Source organism: Homo sapiens, chromosome 2, assembly GCF_000001405.40.
Source record: "Homo sapiens chromosome 2, GRCh38.p14 Primary Assembly".
Taxonomy (NCBI): domain Eukaryota; kingdom Metazoa; phylum Chordata; class Mammalia; order Primates; family Hominidae; genus Homo; species Homo sapiens.
Genome location: NC_000002.12, coordinates 205,985,643 through 206,006,757, shown reverse-complemented (window position 1 = coordinate 206,006,757; position 21,115 = coordinate 205,985,643). Strand labels below are relative to the sequence as shown.

The 21,115-nt window shown below is 39.5% G+C and overlaps 1 protein-coding gene across 8 annotated transcripts in view, besides 1 other annotated feature; it reads left to right on the top strand.

Annotated features, from left to right (window-relative positions):
- The window catches only part of INO80D (INO80 complex subunit D), a 92,454-nt gene extending 79,417 nt beyond the window's left edge, over positions 1-13,037 (top strand). For all 8 annotated transcript variants that reach the window (XM_047444830.1, XM_011511375.3, NM_017759.5 and 5 more), the window contains one exon: positions 1,225-13,037. In XM_047444830.1, coding sequence (XP_047300786.1) covers positions 1,225-2,390 — 1,166 coding nt within the window. In that variant the 3' untranslated portion in view covers positions 2,391-13,037. The remainder of the gene's footprint in view (positions 1-1,224) is intronic.
- Positions 2,016-2,594: an enhancer, noted in NCBI's record as "H3K27ac-H3K4me1 hESC enhancer chr2:206868888-206869466 (GRCh37/hg19 assembly coordinates)". NCBI's record gives its function as "activates a minimal SCP1, AML or CMV promoter by ChIP-STARR-seq in naive H9 embryonic stem cells {active_cell/tissue: H9 hESC(naive)}" and the evidence as "EXISTENCE:reporter gene assay evidence [ECO:0000049][PMID:30033119]".
- Positions 13,038-21,115: the final 8,078 nt, after the last annotated feature.

The following is a 21,115-nucleotide window of genomic DNA, read 5'->3' as shown; positions in this document are numbered from 1 at the left end:
GTTTCTTTAAAGTGAATACTTTTGCTTTATTTTTGAACAAAGACATCTCGAATATGACTTTTTTTTTTTTTTTTTGAGATGGAGTCTCGCTCTGTCGCTCAGACTGGAATGTAGTGGCGCCATTTTGGCTCATTGCAACCTCTGCCTCCCATGTTCCAGCGATTCTCCTGCCTCAGCCTCCCGAGTAGCTGGGATTACAGGTGTCTGCCACCATGCCCAGCTAATTTTTCTATTTTTAGTAGAGGCGGGGTTTCACCATGTTGGTCAGGCTGGTCTCGAACTCTCAACCTCAGGTGATCCACCTGCCTTGGCCTCCCAACGTGCTGGGATTACAAGCACGAGCCACCGCGCCCAGCCGAACATGAGTTTTGAAGTCTTTTAGAACTTGCCCTAGTTTTATACCCCACCCTGTACTTCAACTGAAGTGCACTTTTCCAAAACGAAGTTTGCTTAATCCTGCCAATTCCCCCATGCTTTCAGGGGAAATATTTTATACTTTTAGAATGTTTCTTTCACCATTAAAAATCGAATATTTCCATGGTGATTAATCAAGTTCCTAACAATAGATTTTTTAAATATTAGAAATGAAATCAAAGTAGGTCCATGGGCTTCCATTTTATGAAAATTAGTAAGAAATGGGAAGAGGATGAGGGGAAAGGATTAGAGAGTAAAGCAAAAGCATTTTGAAAGATAACCCGTGAAATGAACTGAGAGCTTAGTGTTGTGCTCAAATAGATGTATGAATTTCTGTGTTTTAACCTTCCACAGCTGCCCTCCAGCTGGGAGAGTCAGGAGTAGAACAGGCAAGGTGGACCTGTTCTACACAGCCTTTTCTCTCAAATCCAAGTTGATATATGTTTTCTATGTTAATGATGATAATATTATTTTAGGTTAAAAACACGTATAATCACATAGTCACCATGAGCTTTAAATTTGTAATCCTTAGAATTCCTAAGAATTTAGTACTTTGATAAGATGGTTTTTGAGATGGTATTCAGTAAATCAACTGAAGATGGTGATTCAAATTCCTAGGTAGCTGACGTTACAGACCCTGTCCTGCAGACCATTATTTCACTTTTTCCCTCCAATCAAAATCTTGGAAACTTTTCTTTTCAAGAGGGACTCTTTAAATCGAATATTGTTTAAAATAATTCAAATGTGTGATTTTTGTGATGTAGAACTGGTAAAAGCTCTACTGATTGTCGATGGCTTTTGTTGACTCAGGGAAGAATGGAGACCTCCTCCCAACTACCGAAGAGGCTGAGGAGCTTGAACGGGCCTTGCAGGCTGTAACTTCTCTCGAGTGCCTGAGTACCATTGGGGTCCTTGCCCAGTCAGATGGTGTGCCAGTCCAGGAGTTGTCAGATAGAGGAATAGGGGTGTTCTCCACAGGTACTGGAGCTTCAGGAATACAATCCTTGAGCCGAGAGGTGAACACAGACCTAGGGGAGCTATTGAATGGGCGTATAGTACATGATAATTTTTCTAGTCTAGAGCTGGATGAGAACCTGCTCCGTTCTGCTACCTTGTCAAACCCACCTACACCCCTGGCAGGGCAGATCCAGGGGCAGTTCTCTGCCCCAGCCAACGTTGGCCTTACTTCTGCCACTCTGATCAGCCAGAGTGCACTTGGGGAGAGAGCCTTCCCAGGACAGTTTCATGGACTTCATGACGGCAGCCATGCCTCCCAGAGGCCACATCCTGCCCAGCTGCTGAGCAAGGCAGATGACCTAATCACCTCACGACAGCAATACAGCAGTGATCACTCACACTCCTCACCCCATGGAAGCCATTATGATAGTGAGCATGTGCCGTCTCCCTACAGTGACCATATCACCTCTCCCCACACAACATCGTACTCTGGTGATAATATGGCAGCTACCTTTTCAGCAGAGATGCCCATCATGGCGCAGCACTTGCTCCCAACCCAACTTGAGGTGCCACTTGGAGGCGTGGTAAACCCCAGAACTCACTGGGGCAATCTCCCTGTCAACCTTGGAGACCCCTCTCCATTTAGCAACCTTCTCGGCGCAGATGGACATCTTCTTTCCACTTCCCTATCCACGCCACCCACCACTTCGAACTCAGAGACCACACAGCCTGCCTTCGCCACCGTGACCCCCAGCAGCTCCAGTGTGCTTCCGGGGTTACCACAGACCAGCTTCAGTGGCATGGGGCCTTCTGCTGAACTAATGGCCTCCACCTCTCCCAAGCAGCAACTCCCTCAGTTCAGCGCAGCCTTTGGCCACCAGCTGAGTTCTCACAGTGGCATTCCTAAGGACCTGCAGCCCAGCCACAGCTCTATAGCCCCTCCTACAGGCTTCACAGTAACAGGTGCCACAGCTACAAGTACCAATAATGCATCTTCTCCCTTTCCCTCCCCTAACTGAGGGTGTCTGTGTGTTTGCAGGCAGGTGGGGAACCCAGTGTTTTCTATCTTTGTTTCCTCTTTAGCACCCCTCTCCCCTTTTCCTAAAGAAGATATAACAGATGGGGATCAGAGGGGCACCCCCCTTCCCAGTTCAATGAGTGGCCCTGCAGTGGACCTCGCTACAGTGTTCACATGTGCTCCTTAGCACTGGTGCTCATTCCCTCCTGGCAGGCCCACTCCGCCCCAGTGGTTTCCTTAGTGGTTCAGCACAGTGACTGGATAGGATTGATTTTTAGCAGCAAGTCCTAGAAGTGGAAGATACCTCAGAATACCAGTGCCCTTTACTATTTCCTAGTATTCAGATCAGTGCTTTCCATTCTGTTGCCAGGTTTTTACATAGGTGGTTCTAGATAGAATGATCTTATTAATTGAGTTCCTGTATAAGAGACAGCAAATGGTGTGTGGCAGGTCAAGATTCTGACCTAGCACCAACTGCTAAACACCACAGTGAGGCCAGGATTCCATTCGTAATTGTGATCATGTTTAACTAAAAGAAAAAAATGTGTCTTTTGACTGCCTGTGAGTATGCGTGTGCCCACGCGTGTGTTTTTGTGCAGTGCAGGAAGCAGCTGTCCCATTAGTTTGATTTTTTTTTGTTCTCCCCTTCCCCCTACTTAATGAGTATAAAACTCTTACTTTTCTCCTGTCCTACATCTCACAGTCCTAATAAGGTTGGTCCTTCTTTTCCTCAAGTTTCCTGAATAGGGAGGGTGGTGGACTGGTCGTGTGAGTAGCACAACCTTTTTCTGCTAAAAGTTAGCCCAAGAAGAAACAGAACATAGAAAGCTTGGATTCCCGTCAGTGAGGTAGGGATGTCCTAAAAAGCTTGCCTGGGATGACTGCAGGCTGCCGGGGTTCTGGGGCCTGATGGTCACTTTGTCTTTTCAGACATTTGTTTGTTTCTAAATCCCTCTCTCATGGAATACATTTGCAAGATGTAATTAAAGAAAATATTTTGATGTGAAAAAGCAGGATAGGTCAGATAGATTTGAAAAGATGGGATCTGTCAACTCCTTGATCCATCTTTTGCTTTTGAATTTTTCATGTTTACAGTAGTGATTCTTTGGTAAGATTTGTAAAATGTTAAGACACTTGTAGAATCAGTGTACCAGTTGTGAAGTGATGTGTAATATCTGAAGGATACACATTTTAAAGTTTCTTTCAAAGCAGAATATGGAAATTAGATATAAATTTTATTCGCCCTTTGGTCCTTTTAAAATAATTCAAGTACTTGGGTTTAAGTAAATTTGAAAATAGCTTTGGGAAATGTTTTTAAAATGCCAGGATTTTAGGGGTTAAAGATCATATGGGGTAGTTTAGGAAGTTTGTGACTATGAGATGAATTTGTGAGGTTTCTTGCCTACCTTTTTTCCCCCCCAGAGAAGGGTGGAACTAGATTTTAAAGGCATCTCTACTCTGCTTTTGCTGAGTAGTTTCACTGTCCCTTGAGATACCATTGGCTATTTATACCTGAGTCTAGTCTAATTCACATATATATATATTTTAAAAGTTGAGAGAACATACCTATTGATGTGGTTCAATAATTCATTTGTCAGGGAATATTTGATCTTAATTCCTTTCTAATAGGTAGTGATTGGATGTATTTTCCTACTTCCTGTATGTAATCTCTTTATGCCATGCTAGTTCTAACCAGTCCCTTCTTTTGAAAGCTTTTCTTTCTCTGCTTTTTAAAGGAATGATGGTGATCAGCAGGCATTATGCAGATACCACGTGCCTGAGGTTATGGAGGGGAAATGTCACATGACTGTATGAAATCATTATATGCCCTATTTTGTATTTATTGATGTTTCTTTTTGTGGGCCAAAAATATGTTTGTAATATATTTAGTTTTTTTAAAATCATGGTAATTGATTGGAAGATTTATTTTTAATAGCTTTGCCTTTTTTGCAGAGTGCAAAATTTCTAAATTATAACTTATGTCATAAAGCAAAATTATATTTGGTATCACCATAAATTTCTATTCTGAATGGTGAGAACAGATAATTTGAATATTTCTCACCTGTGAGTCTATATTAGTAAGCTTTTTTATTTTAATGTACTGTAATGAAGTGGTCACGAGTAGTTACCTCGGCTCAAAAATGTCATTTAGTTTGTTAAACTATTTTCACAACCATCATAAGCATAACTAGATAACTGTCCATTCCCAGCAGTTCAGTTTAGTCTCCATTGTGTATTTAAAGGTTGTCGCAGAGCAGCACATTGACTTCCTCATCAGCCCTTTGACAAGGAAGGGAAAGTCGTGGGTAGTCGATTTGAACTTTTTCTGTCTACTTGTCCCCTCATGTTAGCTGCTTGAAATTCTTCAGTTATGATACAAAGCTGAGTTTGCAGTAAGTTGCACATTTTATTGTTTGCAATTTTCTGTTTTATGTGCATTTAAAAGCCCTTCTCTGCTTTCTAGTAAGGAGGCATGAAATTATCAGGAATGTTGCTAGTTACAGCTTCACACCAAAAACTTTGAGTAAATACATTTTCGTTTGGATGCCCATGATGAAAGCTGAGGAAAGTGGTTGAGGAATTATCAACAACAAACTTTTCCTCTTATTTTATCTAGTTCAAAACAGATATCAAAGTTTGCAATTTGCTTTGCTCTTGCTGTTTCTTATGAGTCCCTTTTTGGAAGAGAGGAGAACATCTATAAGCCCAGAGAGATCTGTGTTTTTCTTTTACTTAATAGAGCCATTCTCGTCTATTAGTAGGAACTTTGCTATTAATATGTATAGAAAGGAATGAAGTGGCTTTTACTCCAGAAATATGAAAATTAGTATCTTTTAAAATAGCACTTATGCTATCACAAGGCAATACTGGAATGAAAAACAAATCTTATATAAGGTCCTAAATAGGTAGAAACTAGCTTTTATTCTAGTGTTGAACCCAGGAGAAATAGTGGCAAAGAAGTTTCACTCTGTTTCTGCAGTTCTTTGGGACTATTTATAAAGGCCAGTTAGATTGTGTTACTGTGATTTAATTTACAAAGTTGCTGCAGTTAATGGATACATTCTGTGCTCTGAGAATCTGAATTCCATTCTAATGTGTGATATTCACTGGCTATGATCAGTAGTATCTGAAGAAAAGATGGGCTTTTTCTCCTTTACTCTCTCTACATAATTATTAATATTATTTTAATTAAAGTACTTAAGACATTGTTTTTTCTTCTGTAAAAATGGCTTAGCAATTTGCACATCTGGGTAGGTTATGTAGCTAGTAAACAACTCAATAGTAAGTAGCAATTATACTTAACCCACCAAGTGACAGACTATGCAATGGAAAAATTTTCTAATTATCGTCACATAGCTTAGACAGCAAAGGATTATTTTCTCTGGTGACCTACCATGTGTGATATAACTGCTTTATAAATGACTTCCTGAGCAATTTCATGTTGGCAGGCAGTGTGGTGTGTCTAGTGCCCCTCTATGAGAAGACTATAATTTAATCAGAAACAAATAGTAGGCATGGGGAGCAAGTTGGAAAGTGAGGTTATTATTTTTTTTCCTTAAAATTGGTGTTACTGTCTTTAGTGGCTTGAGGCTAAAGAAAGCTGATACTTTATCTTTGCCAAATAATTATTTATAAGATTTATTTTTAAATAAGCCCAATCTCTCACCTGCAGTTAAGAATCATCATTTTCTGTGACTGACACTAAAGCTCTTCCTTATCAGAGCTTGTTCTCAATCTGTGATCACAGTCCACAGTGGCAAAGACAACTCTTTGATTAGGAAGGAAACCATGTTTGGGATGCACAGAGGTGCCCTGTCCATACGGTTTTCTTCTTACATGAAAGAATTGACCTTTCTGTTGACCTATACCATTCTGTTTTTATAAAGTGGGATTAGAATTTGAGCATATCTAGTAAATGCCGTGTGGTCAGTCCGCTGATGCTTGCCCGCCGTCTTTGCCGTGCCTTGGCATCCTAGGGGTGCTGGTGATGGTCAGTGGGCATCATCGGTCAGCAGTGCACGTGTAAGGCAATCTCCTCTCCTCCAGGTTAGTTCAGAAGGTCGCTATGGGTTGGTATTGCAAAAAGATGAGTATATGAACACTAAACTTATTAAGAGGTTTGAAATTCATTAAAAATTAGTTTTCAGTTTCTTCATCTTTCTTTTCAGACTTCTTTAAAAATACTGTTCTTAATCTGGTATATATAGAAATCTAATATTATGGTCTTCTAAATGGTCAACAGAACTCTCCAGTTTAATGAGGCAATTTAGAGGATTCCTTGAAAGAAAATTTCATCATACTGAACAGTCCTCATTTGTATCTCTTTTGTTACCAGTATTTACATTGTTCCAAGGATTTTTTTCCTGACAAAAAATATATTTCTCGGGAGTGGAGAGTTTTTTATATATATATATGAAAGAACATAGATGTTTCCCCCCGCCCAATACATTAACTGAATCTTCACTGGCATTCTGTAGAAAAGTTAAAACAGTTTAATAATGTCTTAACATCTTTATACATTTTCCTATATTCTGGAGGAAACCAGAATCATGTTTAGTAGATTAAAGTAACATTTTAAATACTACCTTTCCAATAATTTGTAATAAAATACCAGTGAAGGACATGTTTGGATATCTGTTAAGCATTTTTCCCTGACTAATGAATTAGGAAAGAAAACATAAAACATAAATGAATAGTTATGTCTCTTCTAATAAACAGTGTCATTAATGCTGCAGTTGTGGGTCAAACTTAGGGAGCCTTATTTCTAAATAGCAAAAATTCTGTTTTCACTTCAGCCCTTATTTTTTTTTGTTAGTTTTTCTCTGCACTGTGATACAGAGCTAATAAGAGGAAATGTGACGTTTCAGAGAGAGAGCAAGCAAATTGGGTATGACTTTTTTACCCTATGTTCCCCAATACTGGGGATGTTTGGCTACTTTGAACAGCAGTTTTTAGTGATCTAAAGTTTAGATCAATACTCGTATAAGAGAAAAATCTAACTCTCAGTGAGCTCCATAGGGCAGCACAGCTTTCCATCTTCTCTTTCGCCTTCTTGCGTCTGCCCACCACAGTCCCGAAGAATGCACACGCACATATGATCTGTACCCATCCCGCCCGAAGAGTCATAGAATCCTCTTCTTTCACTTGTTTCTTTTTTCTTCGTTTGTTTGTTTTTGTTTGTTTGTTTTTTAAGCTGGGGACCACTGAAGTAAGCTCTGTATGCACCCAAAGTTCCCCTTGGAAAAATTTTCAACACGCAGTGCAGAAGGCTCCAGTGCAGCTAAATGCCACACCATTGGTTCTACCTGGGGGAATAGACTGATTTGCCCTAAAATGACTCCAACCTGCATCATTAAGGTACAGTTGGCTCCAGTGGATTAGTGCTGAAATGATGGGAAGTCTGACACTTGTTGACATTGTCTTCATCTGTTTGGAAGGGTTGAATCTGTTCCTCTCAACAGTGATAGTTCTTTTCACTGTATAGTATTGAGTATGTCTCAGGGATTCCTTGTGGAAATTAGGGCAGTTTTTAAAATAAGAAAATAGTTTTAAAAGAAACTAAAGGTGACTCATCATTGAAGAGAGCGGAAGAAAGAGGAAACATTTGGTTTTGTAGCCCACAGTGTCTTGCATAGGACTTTTTCCTTTCTCCTCCAGGCTCTCATCTCAGCTTCAGAATACAGAATCCTTTCCCATCACGCACAGCTTTAAAACTTTTATTTAAAAATTTCCTTCCCCAATGAGCTTTCAGAATACTTATTGTAGATTTTAAGAGAAAAGGTATATTAATTTATGCTATTAACATCACCTCATAAATTATAAGTTTTATACTAAAGCTGTATCGAGTGTAATGAATTATGTTGCCTATGTGTTTAATAGCTAAATATATATGAGCTTTTTTTTTTTTTTTTTTTTTTGACAAAACAAACTAGTGAAGCACCTTTTTACACTGGATCTCTGCCGTGTCAAGGTGTATAGCTATCCTTTGCTACCTTGCAGATATATAAAATAAAAGGATATCCTGGGGCCTCAAAATGTAGAACACCTTTAGACCATTTATAACTGTTCCTAGAACTGTTGAGAATCATGTTCTTTAGTAAATGATCTGTGGTTTACACTTAAGATGGCTAGAAGCTTAGTTACAGGGTACATAGAAATACATAGATCAAGTAAAACTCCAACTACTGTAGCTGGAATTTGTAAACTAAGTTTGTAAGACCTCTTTTATTTCCTATGGAGTTATTCTTTAATTTACAGTTTATTCTGTAAGTTGGGAAGTAAAATAGAGAAAATAATAAATCTAGATGTTCTCAGTGTCTTATTCAGGAACTTTTTATCCCTCCTCACTAAGGAATTCCCACTGTGACTTTAAAATAGAACTAAATTACTTGTGTGCATGTATATGTCTGTATTTTTTACACACATGCAAAAATATACATTGGGGGCACGTGTGTGAGAGATATGAATGTGTGCTTATATAAAAATAGATAAAGGTAACCGAATGTATTGTAGAAACATGATTTATTTAGTTGAGGGTATTGGAGTTACTTTCTCATTGTCTCTGTTGTATAAATACACCAAATTAATCATTATGTTATCTTATGTTAAAAGGCTAGCTCTGATATCATGTGCATTTTATGTTAACCTTTGGATTAACTTATATTATGCTATGTTCATAAAATGACATGAGAAACAGGAGGTTCTAAGATCAGCCTCTCACTTTCGAGCATAAAAATAAGAGAGGGAGACAGACAGCCCCAGACATGAGCTGTGTTTATCTATTGTGGTGATGGGACCACAGATCTATTGAATCTTTTTTATGTTAATTATAGATTTCTTTATATTCGAGTAAGAAAATATTGTTGATCATCTTTTCTTGGTGAAGTTAAGAAAAAGTATAGGCCTTTCATAAACAATTTTTGGAAGGGGCTGCTTTGTTTAAGGAGTTGGTGGGATCATTTCACCGTGCATATTTCAAAGCTGGGGTGATTTCATTTATTTCCAAAATTTTTCAAAAAACTTTTACTCAGTTCTGCTGTTATTTATTAACTTAAGAGTGCTCCCATCCCCATATTTCAGCTATAGGAAAATTGTGCTACCCCTGATTCATATGGAATTAAAAAAAAATACATCCCTTTATTTTGAGTTTTAAGTTGTTATTTTGCTATACATTTATTACTGGAGTATCTGGTGGTCTGAAATAGTCAAAAGTAGAGTTGGTATTAAATGTTCCAATGACATTTATTTTTAATACTTAAAAAATCATGTACTTTGAAATATGTCAAAGCAACTTCTGATAATATACCTGAATTTGTAGTTGTCTCTTGAGCATCATTTACTTCATCTTAGATATAGTGAAGATCTAGGAAAGCTCTATATGCTGTTCTTTTCTACAGTTGTATTTTTGCAGCATCTCCTGGTTTCATTCACTCTTGTTTTGGGATTTTTTTTTAGATCTGCATATTTCTTGTACATATGCATGCAAATGAAAGAAGGGAGTTTGTACTGGTGCCATTTCTCCCTTCAGTTGCTGGTTAATGGGATTTGCTAGAAAAAATTCTCCCGGTTGAAGGGTGAAAACAGACCCTTATGTGTATATCTGTACAGAGATGTGTATATGGGATGTGGTGGCACTTTGCTGAATGTGAACTTGCCTTGTCAATGGAAAGATTGAAAAGTATTATGTTTATTTATACATTTGTATAAATCTATATATACACGTATGTATATGTGTGTGTATAGATAAAGCTATATACATATATTTCCCTTAAAAATGTGTGTGTATAATAGGTAAACAGCCTTTGTTAAGCAAGATTAATGTCTATGGAAAGTTCTGGATTATTCTGTAAGCCAGAGGAGGTGACAGTCTAGAGTACATCATCAGAACATACTAAAATGGAAGTCCTTTGGATTATAGTTTTGTTTATGGATATTACACAATGAATGCTTGTCTGAACAGTTCTTACTTGCCAGTTCCACTATTCTTCATCTTCACCACCTTCTACTGGTCAGTCTTTCATCACTTAAAAAAAAAAAAAAAATCACACATCATTGTGGTTTTTTTCCCCCTTAATTCTGTCTCTTCTAGCCAGAAGCATCTGGCTTAAGCATATTTCATCAACTTCTCTGTTATTTCTTTTAAAGATCTTTATCTCTGAAATTTTCCCAGAAGATACAAGTTTTGGTAATATTATCAATAGGAATTTTGAGACTTGGGCATTCATCTTTGTCTCAAAAACAAACAGAAAGCCAACCTTCAAATAAAACAAATTTGAAAGTTTTAGCTCAATAATTTGGGGACATTTTACTTAAATTACAAAAGAACATAATTATGATTTTATGATCGATATTAGTGTTAGGTTTATTTCCACACTTACTGTCATTAATTTGTCATTTACATATTTTTATTTGCTTTGTAGTTTAATCATAACTTCACCATTTACATTTTAATGGAAAGCATACAAGGTCACATGTTAGCCTCTTGAATTCTGTAACTAACTCATTTTTCTCATGATGAAACTGCTTTGATGAATTCCTGTGTGATGAATTCTGCTATATTTCCTTTTGACTTTTCTCAGTTTGTGACATTCTGTATTAACTTTGCTGCAGCTCTCTAGAAAACTTGCATCCCTATATATTGTGCCTTTAAAGCTCTTATGCACACACAGACAAAAGTGTATATATACATGTCAGAGCATGTGTACATATGCTTTCGTATGTACTCACACAGTATGTCTCTAGTATATATTGTGGGAGTAGATATATAGATATTCAAAGGCAATGAAATATTGCTCTCCAGATATATATGTATATAAATAGTGTTGATATAACTGTATATACACATGTATATGTATGAGTTTTAAATGGCAATCTTTTACATTTAGCAAAATGCTGCCCCTACTGGAATATTGTCACTGCAGTGGCAGTTGTATGTAATGATTTAAAATACATTATCAAAAGTTATTTAAAGAACATTTAAAGTCTCATCTAAAGACATCCACACACTATTTATTTATCTTCCTTTTCCTTTTATTGTTGTGTTTTTCTTAACTGAAAGGGAGACTGTCATTTTAAAAATGCCATCTGTCCCATGAGAGTAAGAAAGAGCTGGAGATTCACTTGAGGAGCTTTGTGCATTTTTCCTCTCTCTGAAGTGGAGATGTTCCACAGACCAGACTGTTTATTTCACTTATAAAGCAATCCTAATATTTCCGTTAGTGTATGTCAGCCACCATCTCCTAGATCAACTTAATTCACCAATTTGCCTCCTCCTTTCATTAATAAATAATGATTATTGAGATCATTTTGCCTGGGGGAAGTTAACTACTCCCATGCTGCAGGGAAATATATCACCTAATTGTTATTTTGCCTTGTTCAAAATTCAAATTTGAAAGAAGGCAGCTCTCTCATGAAGCTGTCTTAAGCACATTTTAGTTAAGGGCCCTCCCAAACTCTTTTTTCTTTCTTTCTTTCTTTCTTTTTTTTTTTTTTTTGCGAGTTCCAAGTTGCATGTGCTTGAAATAGATTTAATTCTTATTCCCCACAGTTTAGGTATTTTTCATTAGTACATCAATTTGACACACTGAATGCAAGACTATTAAGGAAGAACGATTAAATATTATTTTATTTTGTGAAGAGTTGGCAGCAGATTACATCTCAAGAACTTGCAGAGAGAGGAAGGTAGATGGACAATCCTAAATTGTAAGATGTTACAAAAAACAGTGAAGTAAGAGTACTCCTGAAGACTAAAATAGAGAGGCTGGGGTTTGAGCCATTTTACTGAGTAGCTTAGCTGGAACCTGATATCAGAAGTAGCCTTTAACAAAAAGCCTCTTGGCAATTGTATGGTACTAACAACTAGAGTACTGAAGTGTAAGTTGAAACCAAGTTGCAGTGGGAAATCAAAGGTGAGGTAGCTTATTTGAAACCAGCAAATGAGACAGGTTGGACAGTTTTAAAATCTCTTCTAACAAAGAAACTGCACGGTAGCAAGGACTAGCGGTTCTCAAAGCCCTTCTTTTTCAGTGTTCTCATTCACCTTGGCACCCAAGTATGTTTAACAGGCCATGCATTAAAAATAAATACAAAAATATAAAAGCCGCTTAAAGGGAACTTACAAACTGACAATCTCTCCTCTGTATTTGTGTTCATAGTGGCTGGGAGTTTAATTATATGCACAAAAGTTAGGAGCCACTTGTTTCTGCACAGACTGTAGGAGCAAGATGAGGAGATGGGCAGGTTTTGGTAAGAGCCCCCAGTTCTGGTGGACAGGCATACTTGTGGCATTGGGTGCGGCATTGCTGGGAGGACCACGTCTTGGGAGGCGATTGACTTTTGGTTTGTAATTTCCCTTTAAACAAGAAGAGATGGCTCACATTTTCCATATATATCTCAATGAATGTACTGTATTACTGTTTTAAAAATTTGATGAAATAATAATGAATTGGTCTCCTTTTGTTATCTGGTCCTTGTTTAATTTGTTTAAGGGTTTTTGTATACAAAAGTTTACATTTTTATGTATATTTTTCTTGTGTAAAAACTGATGTAATATGTGTATGAAACACTGTATGTATTATCTGTATATAGTGTGACAAAATCATTTTTCTTTCTTTCTTTTGGATGTATTAATAAATCTTGCTGTGAAGTAGCCTTGTTTTTAGTTTAATTTTCTATACTGGGATATTGATGGAAGCTGCTAATCCAGGGTAAGTATTTTTCTACCTTTATTTGAATACAGTATTTTTTAATATCTTGTGTTTCACCAATAACTCTAGGCAGATATATTCATGATTTTTATGGTTGAACTAACAATAATTAATATTTGTAATAGCCGTGGATCAATCAAATTCTATCCAAAGTGATTTTTGATATGGTAACCAGCCTTTGTTCAACTAGAATTTGCATTTGAAATTGTTATATGCTATAATGGAAGTCTTACAAGCCAATTTCTGTTTCTTTAAATCAGAAGCCTCTTCTGTCTTCATTTTCATAGTTTCACAAATATAAGAACAACTTCATGTTTTATAGCCAAAATTAAAAAAACAATACAAAACTCGAAGAAACTTTTTTTTTTTTTGAAACAGCATCTTGTTCTGTTTCTCAGGCTGGAGTGCAGTGGTACAATCACGGCTCACTGCAGCCTCAACCTCCCTGGCTTGAGCAGTCCTCCCACCTCAGCCTCCTAAGTAGCTGGGACCACAGGCATGTGCCACCCCGCCTGGATATATATATTTTTTAATTATTTGTTTTTTAGAGATAGGGTCTTGCCATGTTGCCCAGGCTGGTCTTGAACTCCTGGGCTCAAGCAGTCCTCCTGCCTCAGCCTCCCAAAGTGTAGGTATTATAGGCATAAGCCACCATGCCCAGCCCTTAATTTTCTATTTTTTTGTAGAGATGGGGGTCTCACCATGTTGCCCAGACTGGTCTTGAACTCTTGGGCTCAAGCAATCCTCCCACCTTGGCCTCCCAAAGTGCTGGGACACTTTTGTTCTTTAAGGCATTGATATAGTTTGAATATTTTCACCCAAATCTCAAGTTGAAATGTAATCCACAGTGTTGGAGGTGAGACCTGGTGGGAAGTGTTTGGGTCATGGGGGCAGATTCCTCATGTCTCGGTGCTGTCCTACCGATAGTTGAGTTCTCATGAGATCTGACTGTTTAAGAGTGTGTGGCACACCCAACCATCCCCCACCCACCCCACCATCCACCCCTCTCTTTTGCTCTTGCTCCTGCCATGTGATGTGCCTGCTCCCCCTTTACCTTCCGTCTTCTGGTCTTACTCTCTTGCCCAGGCTGGAGTGCAGTAGCCACCATCCTGGCTTACTGCAGCCTTGATCTCTTGGGCTCAAGCGATCCTCCCATCTCAGCCTCCTGAGTAGCTGGGACTACAGGCGCATGCCACCATACCTGACTAATTTTGTTTGTTTTTTGTAGAGACGGAGTCTCCCTGTGTTGCCCAGGTTGGTCTTGAACTCCTGGGCTCAAGCAATCCTCCTGCCTCTGCTTCCCAAAGTGCTGGGATTATAGGCGTGAGCTGCCACCCCTAGCTTCAGGTATTTCTTTATAGCAGTGCAAGAACAGCCTAATGCAGATACTAACAACTATTTACTTGGAATTGTTTTTCAACTTTCTAATGCTATCTTTTGTTGCTGAGGGAAGCTCTAGTGTAAGTGGTTTTGTTGTACACATAGAGGCAAAAATTCACATACAAAAATTAGTAACCTTTTTTTTTTTTTTTGAGACAGAGTCTCGTTCTGTAGCCCAGGATGGAGTGCAATAGTGTGATCACTGCTCACTGCAACCTTCACCTCCCAGGCTCAAGCTATTCTTATGATCACATGTTCTTTAGAGAGTTTCGCTTAAAAAAAATTTTTTTTTGGAGACAGGATCTCGCCCTGTCACTAGGTGAGTGCAGTGGTGCCATCTTGGCTCACTTCAGCCTCGACCTCCCAGGCTCAGGTGATCCTCCCATCTCAGCCTCCCAAGTAGCTGGGACCATAGGTATGTGCCACCATCCCCAGCTAGTTTTTGTATTTTTTTTGTAGAGACAGAGTTTCACCATGTTGCCCAGGCTGGTCTCAAACAACTAGGTTCAAGGGATCTGCCTGCCTTGGGCTCCCAAATTTCTGGGATTACAAGCATGAGCCACCATGCCCAGCCAATTTTTTTTTTTATTTTTGTGGAGCAGTTGAACTTGTTTTCCTTGGTCTCTAACCCAGGCATGTTTAAGGTACATTCTAAAATTGTCCTTTGTTTCTCTAAAAGAAGTTAACATTTTGAGGCTAGAAGCAGATGGCCACAGTACTAGTAAAATGGCCACAATAACAGAACTTTTTCCATTTCTCTGCATTGGAGATTGACAAGGTATGGAGGATAATGCTTGAAATGGATTGTTCTGTTTCTTCGGTTATATGGTAGCTGATTTTAAGCTCTTCTGTTATTTTCTACTTAAGGTTGCTTCCTAAGTCTCTGCACAAACTTTTGAGATTGTGCTGGCTAAGTTCTTGACTAAGAAAAAAATAGTAGCCTTAGGAGACAAGCCTGTTAGTGTAATATTTGAGTTGAGGCAACATCTTTAAAGCGGTAGTGCTGAGATCCTGTGGATTGTGAGTGGAAGCAAAAATTGGAGTTTAGAAGATAATATATTTTTATTAATTCCCCTTTAGTATACCTCCACCTATTTGTTCTTTCTTCTGCCTCATTAAGAGGTAACGATAATTTTTTTTTTTGAGACAGAGTCTTGCTCTGTCGCCCAGGCTAGGGTGCAGTGCAGTTGGCATGATCTCAGCTCACTGTAACCTCTGCCTCCTGGGTTCAAGCAATTCTCCTGCCTTAGTCTCCCGAGTAGCTGGGACTACAGGCATGCGCCACCATGCCCAGCTAATTTTTTTGTATTTTTAGTAGAGATGGGGTTTTGCCATGTTGGCCAGGCTGGTCTCAAACTCATGACCTCAGGTGATCTGCCCGTGGCCTCCCAAAGTGCTGGGAATACAGGCGTGAGCCACTGTGCCTGGCCTAACAATAGTTCTTTAAAAAGCCTGTATTGGCTGGGCATGGTGGCTCACACCTGTAATCCTAGCACATTTGGGAGGCTGAGGCAGGAGAATTGCTTAAGCACAGGAGTTCAAGACCATCCTGGGCAACAAAGTGAAACCTGTTTCTCTTTTTTTTTAACCCTGTATTGTTTAAAGACCTTATTTGCATTAATTTGTACCTTCCAGCAATATGTGGGTCTAAACATTAAGGTGATTTTCTTAGCCTGTTTTGTGCTGCTATCACAATACCAGAGACTGATTAATTTATAAAGAACCAAAATTTATTTCTGACAGTTACAGAGGCTGGGAAGACCAAGATCAAGGCACCAGCATCTGGTGAGGGCTGCTGCTGAGACACTGTGTCCTCCATAGAGGGGTAATACTGTGTTCTCACCTGGCAGAGGGCGGAAGGGCAAAGAGAGACAAACTTCCTCATCAAACTCTTCTACAGTGGCATTAATCCATTGATCAGGGCACAGCCCTCATGACCTAAACATCTCTTAAAATGCCCCACCTCTCAACATTTGCACTGGGGATTACATTTCCAGCACATGAATTTGAGACACATCAGACCATATCAGTGATGTTATTTTGTTCCTTTCACAGAAATGTCTTTTGGAAAAGTCCTCTTTAACATGTTGTGACTATAGTCAGTTATTTTTCCGACTTCAAATCCCTGTGATGGAAAGATGATGCTCATCACTTAGCACCCTGAAGTTTCAGTCAACCTCATGGTAGTATGCTATTGCTGTTTCTCCCATCTTTCCAGTTTTCTGTCTTTCTGACCTTGCATTCATTTTTATACATTTAGTTATATTTTTGGGCAGTTTGTGTTGGGGACAGTGAGACACATGAGAATGAATCACAACTGGATTCTACACCCAAAGGATTTTGCCACCTAGTAGGAGAGTGTTGCATAACCATCTGTGCAAACAAGAAAGACACTGTCAACTGCCTAGTAGAATGATAAAATGCTGTGTAAGCTCAAGTCAGGAAGACATAATTTGCAACCAAAGGATAGAGCAAATTTTCTAGAGGAGAGCAATTTCGAACTCCTGATGTCAAGTGATCCACCCACCTCAGCCTCCGAAGTGCTGGGATTACAGGCGAGAGCCACTGTGCCCCTCCCTGAGTAGAGTGATCTGAACAGAGCATCCACAGATGGGCGGTGTTTGGACATTCAGAAATGGAGAAGGTGTTCCAGGAGAAGCAAGCAGCATGAGCAGTTGGGATACCTCGTAGTTTGTGTAAGGACACTGAGCAGTTGAGCTTGTCTGGAGTCTAACGTGAGGGAGAGGGGTGAGGAGCAGAGAAGCTAATGGGTGACTGAGCATAAGGAATGTGGAAGGCTGGAATGGGAGTGATGATCAGCGGGGACTCAGGAAATCTAATTTTTCCTCTCGATCGAGGTAAGATTGCAGTGAGATGATTTGGGAGGGGGCTACTGCAGTAGTCAGGCTAGATAATGAAGTCGCACTTACTTGTGGAAGTAAAAATGGAAGGAAAGGGGAGATCAAAACAACTTGGAAACAGAGTGATAAGATGTGAGCGGCAGGGGAGAGGAGAGAGCCAAAGATGTTTCACCCCTGGGTTTCTGGAAGAGTGGTGGTGCCAGTGACGGAAGTGGGCAGCATGGCTGTGAACACTCTACAGTTTGGAGAGGGCCAGTGGGTTCTGAGTACACATAGTTTGAGCTGGGATCAGGGGCCAGGGGGAGATGGCCAGCTCCCCTTCCGCTAGCACTCAGAAGAGAGGCCCAAGCCGGAGGTACAGATGGGGAGGCTGTGGGCATAGAATTGAATGTTGAAGCCAGCTGTAAATGATCAAGGAAGAAAGCTAAGAACATATTTGGGGGAACAGCTGTTATCTATTTGTATTTTATTTTATTTTATTTTATTTTATTTTATTTTATTTTTTTATTTTATTTTATTTTATTTTATTTTATTTTATTTTATTTATTTTATTTATTTTATTTATTTTATTTATTTTATTTTATTTATTTTATTTATTTTATTTTATTTTATTTTATTTTATTTTATTTTATTTTATTATTTTATTTTATTTTATTTATTTTATTTTATTTTAGTTACAGGCCCAAAAAGAGACCTTAAATCATGTTTCCAGAGTCTCCCAGCTAGCAAATTATGGAGCTGGTATTCCAGTGCTATCGGGCTAGCTCTCCTCCCCGACGCTCTCTGAAGGGGAAAGTCAGCCCCTTCCCCAACCCTGGCGTTGTGAGGGCCTGAGCATGTGCACTTGCCTCCCCGTCATGCTCATTGTAATGACTTGTTTGTGTCCCCTTCTGGAAGGTATGCTCCCGTATCTACTTCCTTAATTCCAAAAAGCTCAGTCCCTAGCACAGCCTGCTTCCCAGTGTCAGCACATAGTAAATATTACTGAATGAAGTTAGTACTCCAAAGAGACTGAGGGGGTCTAGTGAGAAGCAGTATAGCAGTTGGTTAAGGCTGTGGCTTTGGGAGCCAGACTTCCTAGGTTCTAATCTTGACTCCAAGCTGTGTGATCTTAGGCAGGTCATTTATCCTCTCTCTCCTTCAGTTTCCTCATCTGTAAAATGCATTTTTGCATTGAGAGGATTGCAGAACAGAACCTATGTAAAGCACTTAGAATAGTCCTTGGCATATACTAAGTACTTAGTAAATTTTAGTTAGGCTTCTTTTATAACTAGAAGGAAAGACTGAAGATAAACAACATAGGCTATTTCCAGAAGGAAGTGTCCTGGGGAAATGAACAAGAGAACAGAGGTTAGCTGCAAATGAGGAAGATGGAGATAGGCTGAGAGCTTGGGAAGAAATTTCTGATCATAAGGAATGTCTGCTGCTGATTTTTTAAATACAAGAGGATATAGGTAACCAGCATATGTGGTTACTCTTACCCAACCAAGTTTCCAAATATTCGAGGATGCATTCAGTTATGGGAATCCTGTTAGTTGAAAATATAAGGCCGGGCATGGTGGCTCATGCCTGTAATCCCAGCTCTTTGGGAGGCTGAGGTGGGCGGATCACGAGGTCAGGCGATCGAGACCATCCTAGCTAACACCGTGAAACCCTGTCTCTACTAAAAATGCAAAAATTAGCCAGACGTGGTGGTGCACACCTGTAATCCCAGCTACTCAGGAGGCTGAGGCAGGAGAATCACTTGAACCCGGGAGGCAGAGGTTGCAGTGAGCCGAGATTGTGCCACTGCACTCCAGCTTGGGCAAGAGCAAAACTCCGTCTCAAAAAAAAAAAAAAAAAGAGAAAAATATAAATTTACCTTTGCTTTGAAACTTCAAAAAATTCTCCTACATTTTATCTTACATACTACAAAGCATCATTTAATGGAAGAAAATATATCATGGTATCCTGACTTAAAGAAGATACTTTGGGATAGAAACTACTTAAGAAAATAAAATATAGGCCAGGCGCAGTGGCTCACGCCTGTAATCCCAGCACTTTGGGAGGCCAAGGTGGGTGGATCACCTCAGGTCAGGAGTTCGAGACCACTCTAACCAATATGGTGAAACCCCATCCCTACTACATCCAAAAAATTAGCCAGGTGTGGTGGCGCATGCCTGTAATCCCAGCTACTTAGGAGGCAGAAGCAGGAGAATCGCTTGAACCCAGGAGGCAGAGGTTGGAGTGAGCCGAGATTGTGCCATTCCACTCCAGCCTGGGCAATTCTGTCTCAAGAAAAAAAGAAAGAAAAGAAAATATAGAGCTGGGTGCAGTGGTGCACACCTGTATTCGCAGCTACTCAGAGGCAGAAGCAGAAGGACCCTTTGAGCCCAGGAGTTTGAGGCCAACATGGGAAACATAGCAAGACCCCATGTCTAAAAGAAAAGAAAATATGACTATAAGTATAAAGAATTAGTAGACTCTGGTCCTTTATCAGAAGATGTGCATGTCCCACTGTAGACCCAGCTACTGGGGAGGCTGAGGCAAGAGAATCGCTTGAACCTGGGAGGCAGAGGTTGCAGTGAGCCAAGATTGCGCCACTGCACTCCAGCCTGGGTGACAGAGTGAGACTGTGTCTCAAAAATAAATAAAAAATGATAAAAAATATAAACTATTTTTCAACATAAGCTCCATCAAATTCAAGATACTTTTGCTAAACTAAAAAGTAGAGGATGGGCGCAGAGGCTCACACCTGTAATCCCAGCACTTCTGGAGGCTGAGGCAGGTGGATCACTTGAGGTCAGGAGTTTGAGACCAGCCTGGCCAACATGGTGAAACCCCATCTCTACTAAAATTACAAAAATTAGCTGGGCATGGTGGGGGGCGCCGTAATTCCAGCTACTCTGGAGGCTGAGGCATGAGAATCGCTTGAACCCAGGAGGCGGAAGCTGTACTGAGCCGACATCGCGCCACTGCACTCCAGCCTGGATGACGGAGTGAGACTCTATCTCAAAAAACACTAAATAAATAAAAAGTAGAAATCTAAGAAGCTAGACCATATGTCACCTCCACAGTACATAGAGGCCAAATATACTGTCCCACAATGCTTATTACTCTCAGTACCAATGTCTATTCTTGAAGACTAAAATCTTCCCTCCCCTTATTCCTTTAATTGCAGTCCTTTCTTTGTACTGGTCAACATTATACCTGCTCTTTCCACTGACTGTCACTCCTTAACCCATTGCAGTTTAGCTTTCACCTTGTTATTTGCCTGCAACTATTCTTTCTGAGGCCATCCATGCCCTTTGATGTCATTCTATTTAGCCTCTCTTGAACCAGTCAAGACTGATAACATTGCATTGTTTCTTTTCTCCACTTTATTCCCATATGATGCTTTTTCTGGGCTCTTTGTCAGTTCCAATTCTTCATCATCACTCCTCAGCCTTCTCTTTTGTTCTTACTCTGTACATGAGCTCCCAGTTTAGGATCCTTCTATGCCCTGGCTTAAACATTGACCTCCCTGGAGATTAACTTGAAAATTGTACCTACTGCTCTGATTACTCTCAAACTTTGGCCTCACATCTCCTGCTCCTTCCTGAGGACTCCCACCTTGATATCCAGCCATCATTCTAAATTTAGCTTGTCTAAATCCAAAGTTAACATCTTTTCCTTTTTGACCAGCTCTCACTGTGAACTTTTGCCTTTATTCACTTGCTCTTTTAATTATTCATTCTTTGAACAAATATGAAGACTCCCAACTCACACCAGTATCCGTAGTCATCTTGATTTCTCCCAGT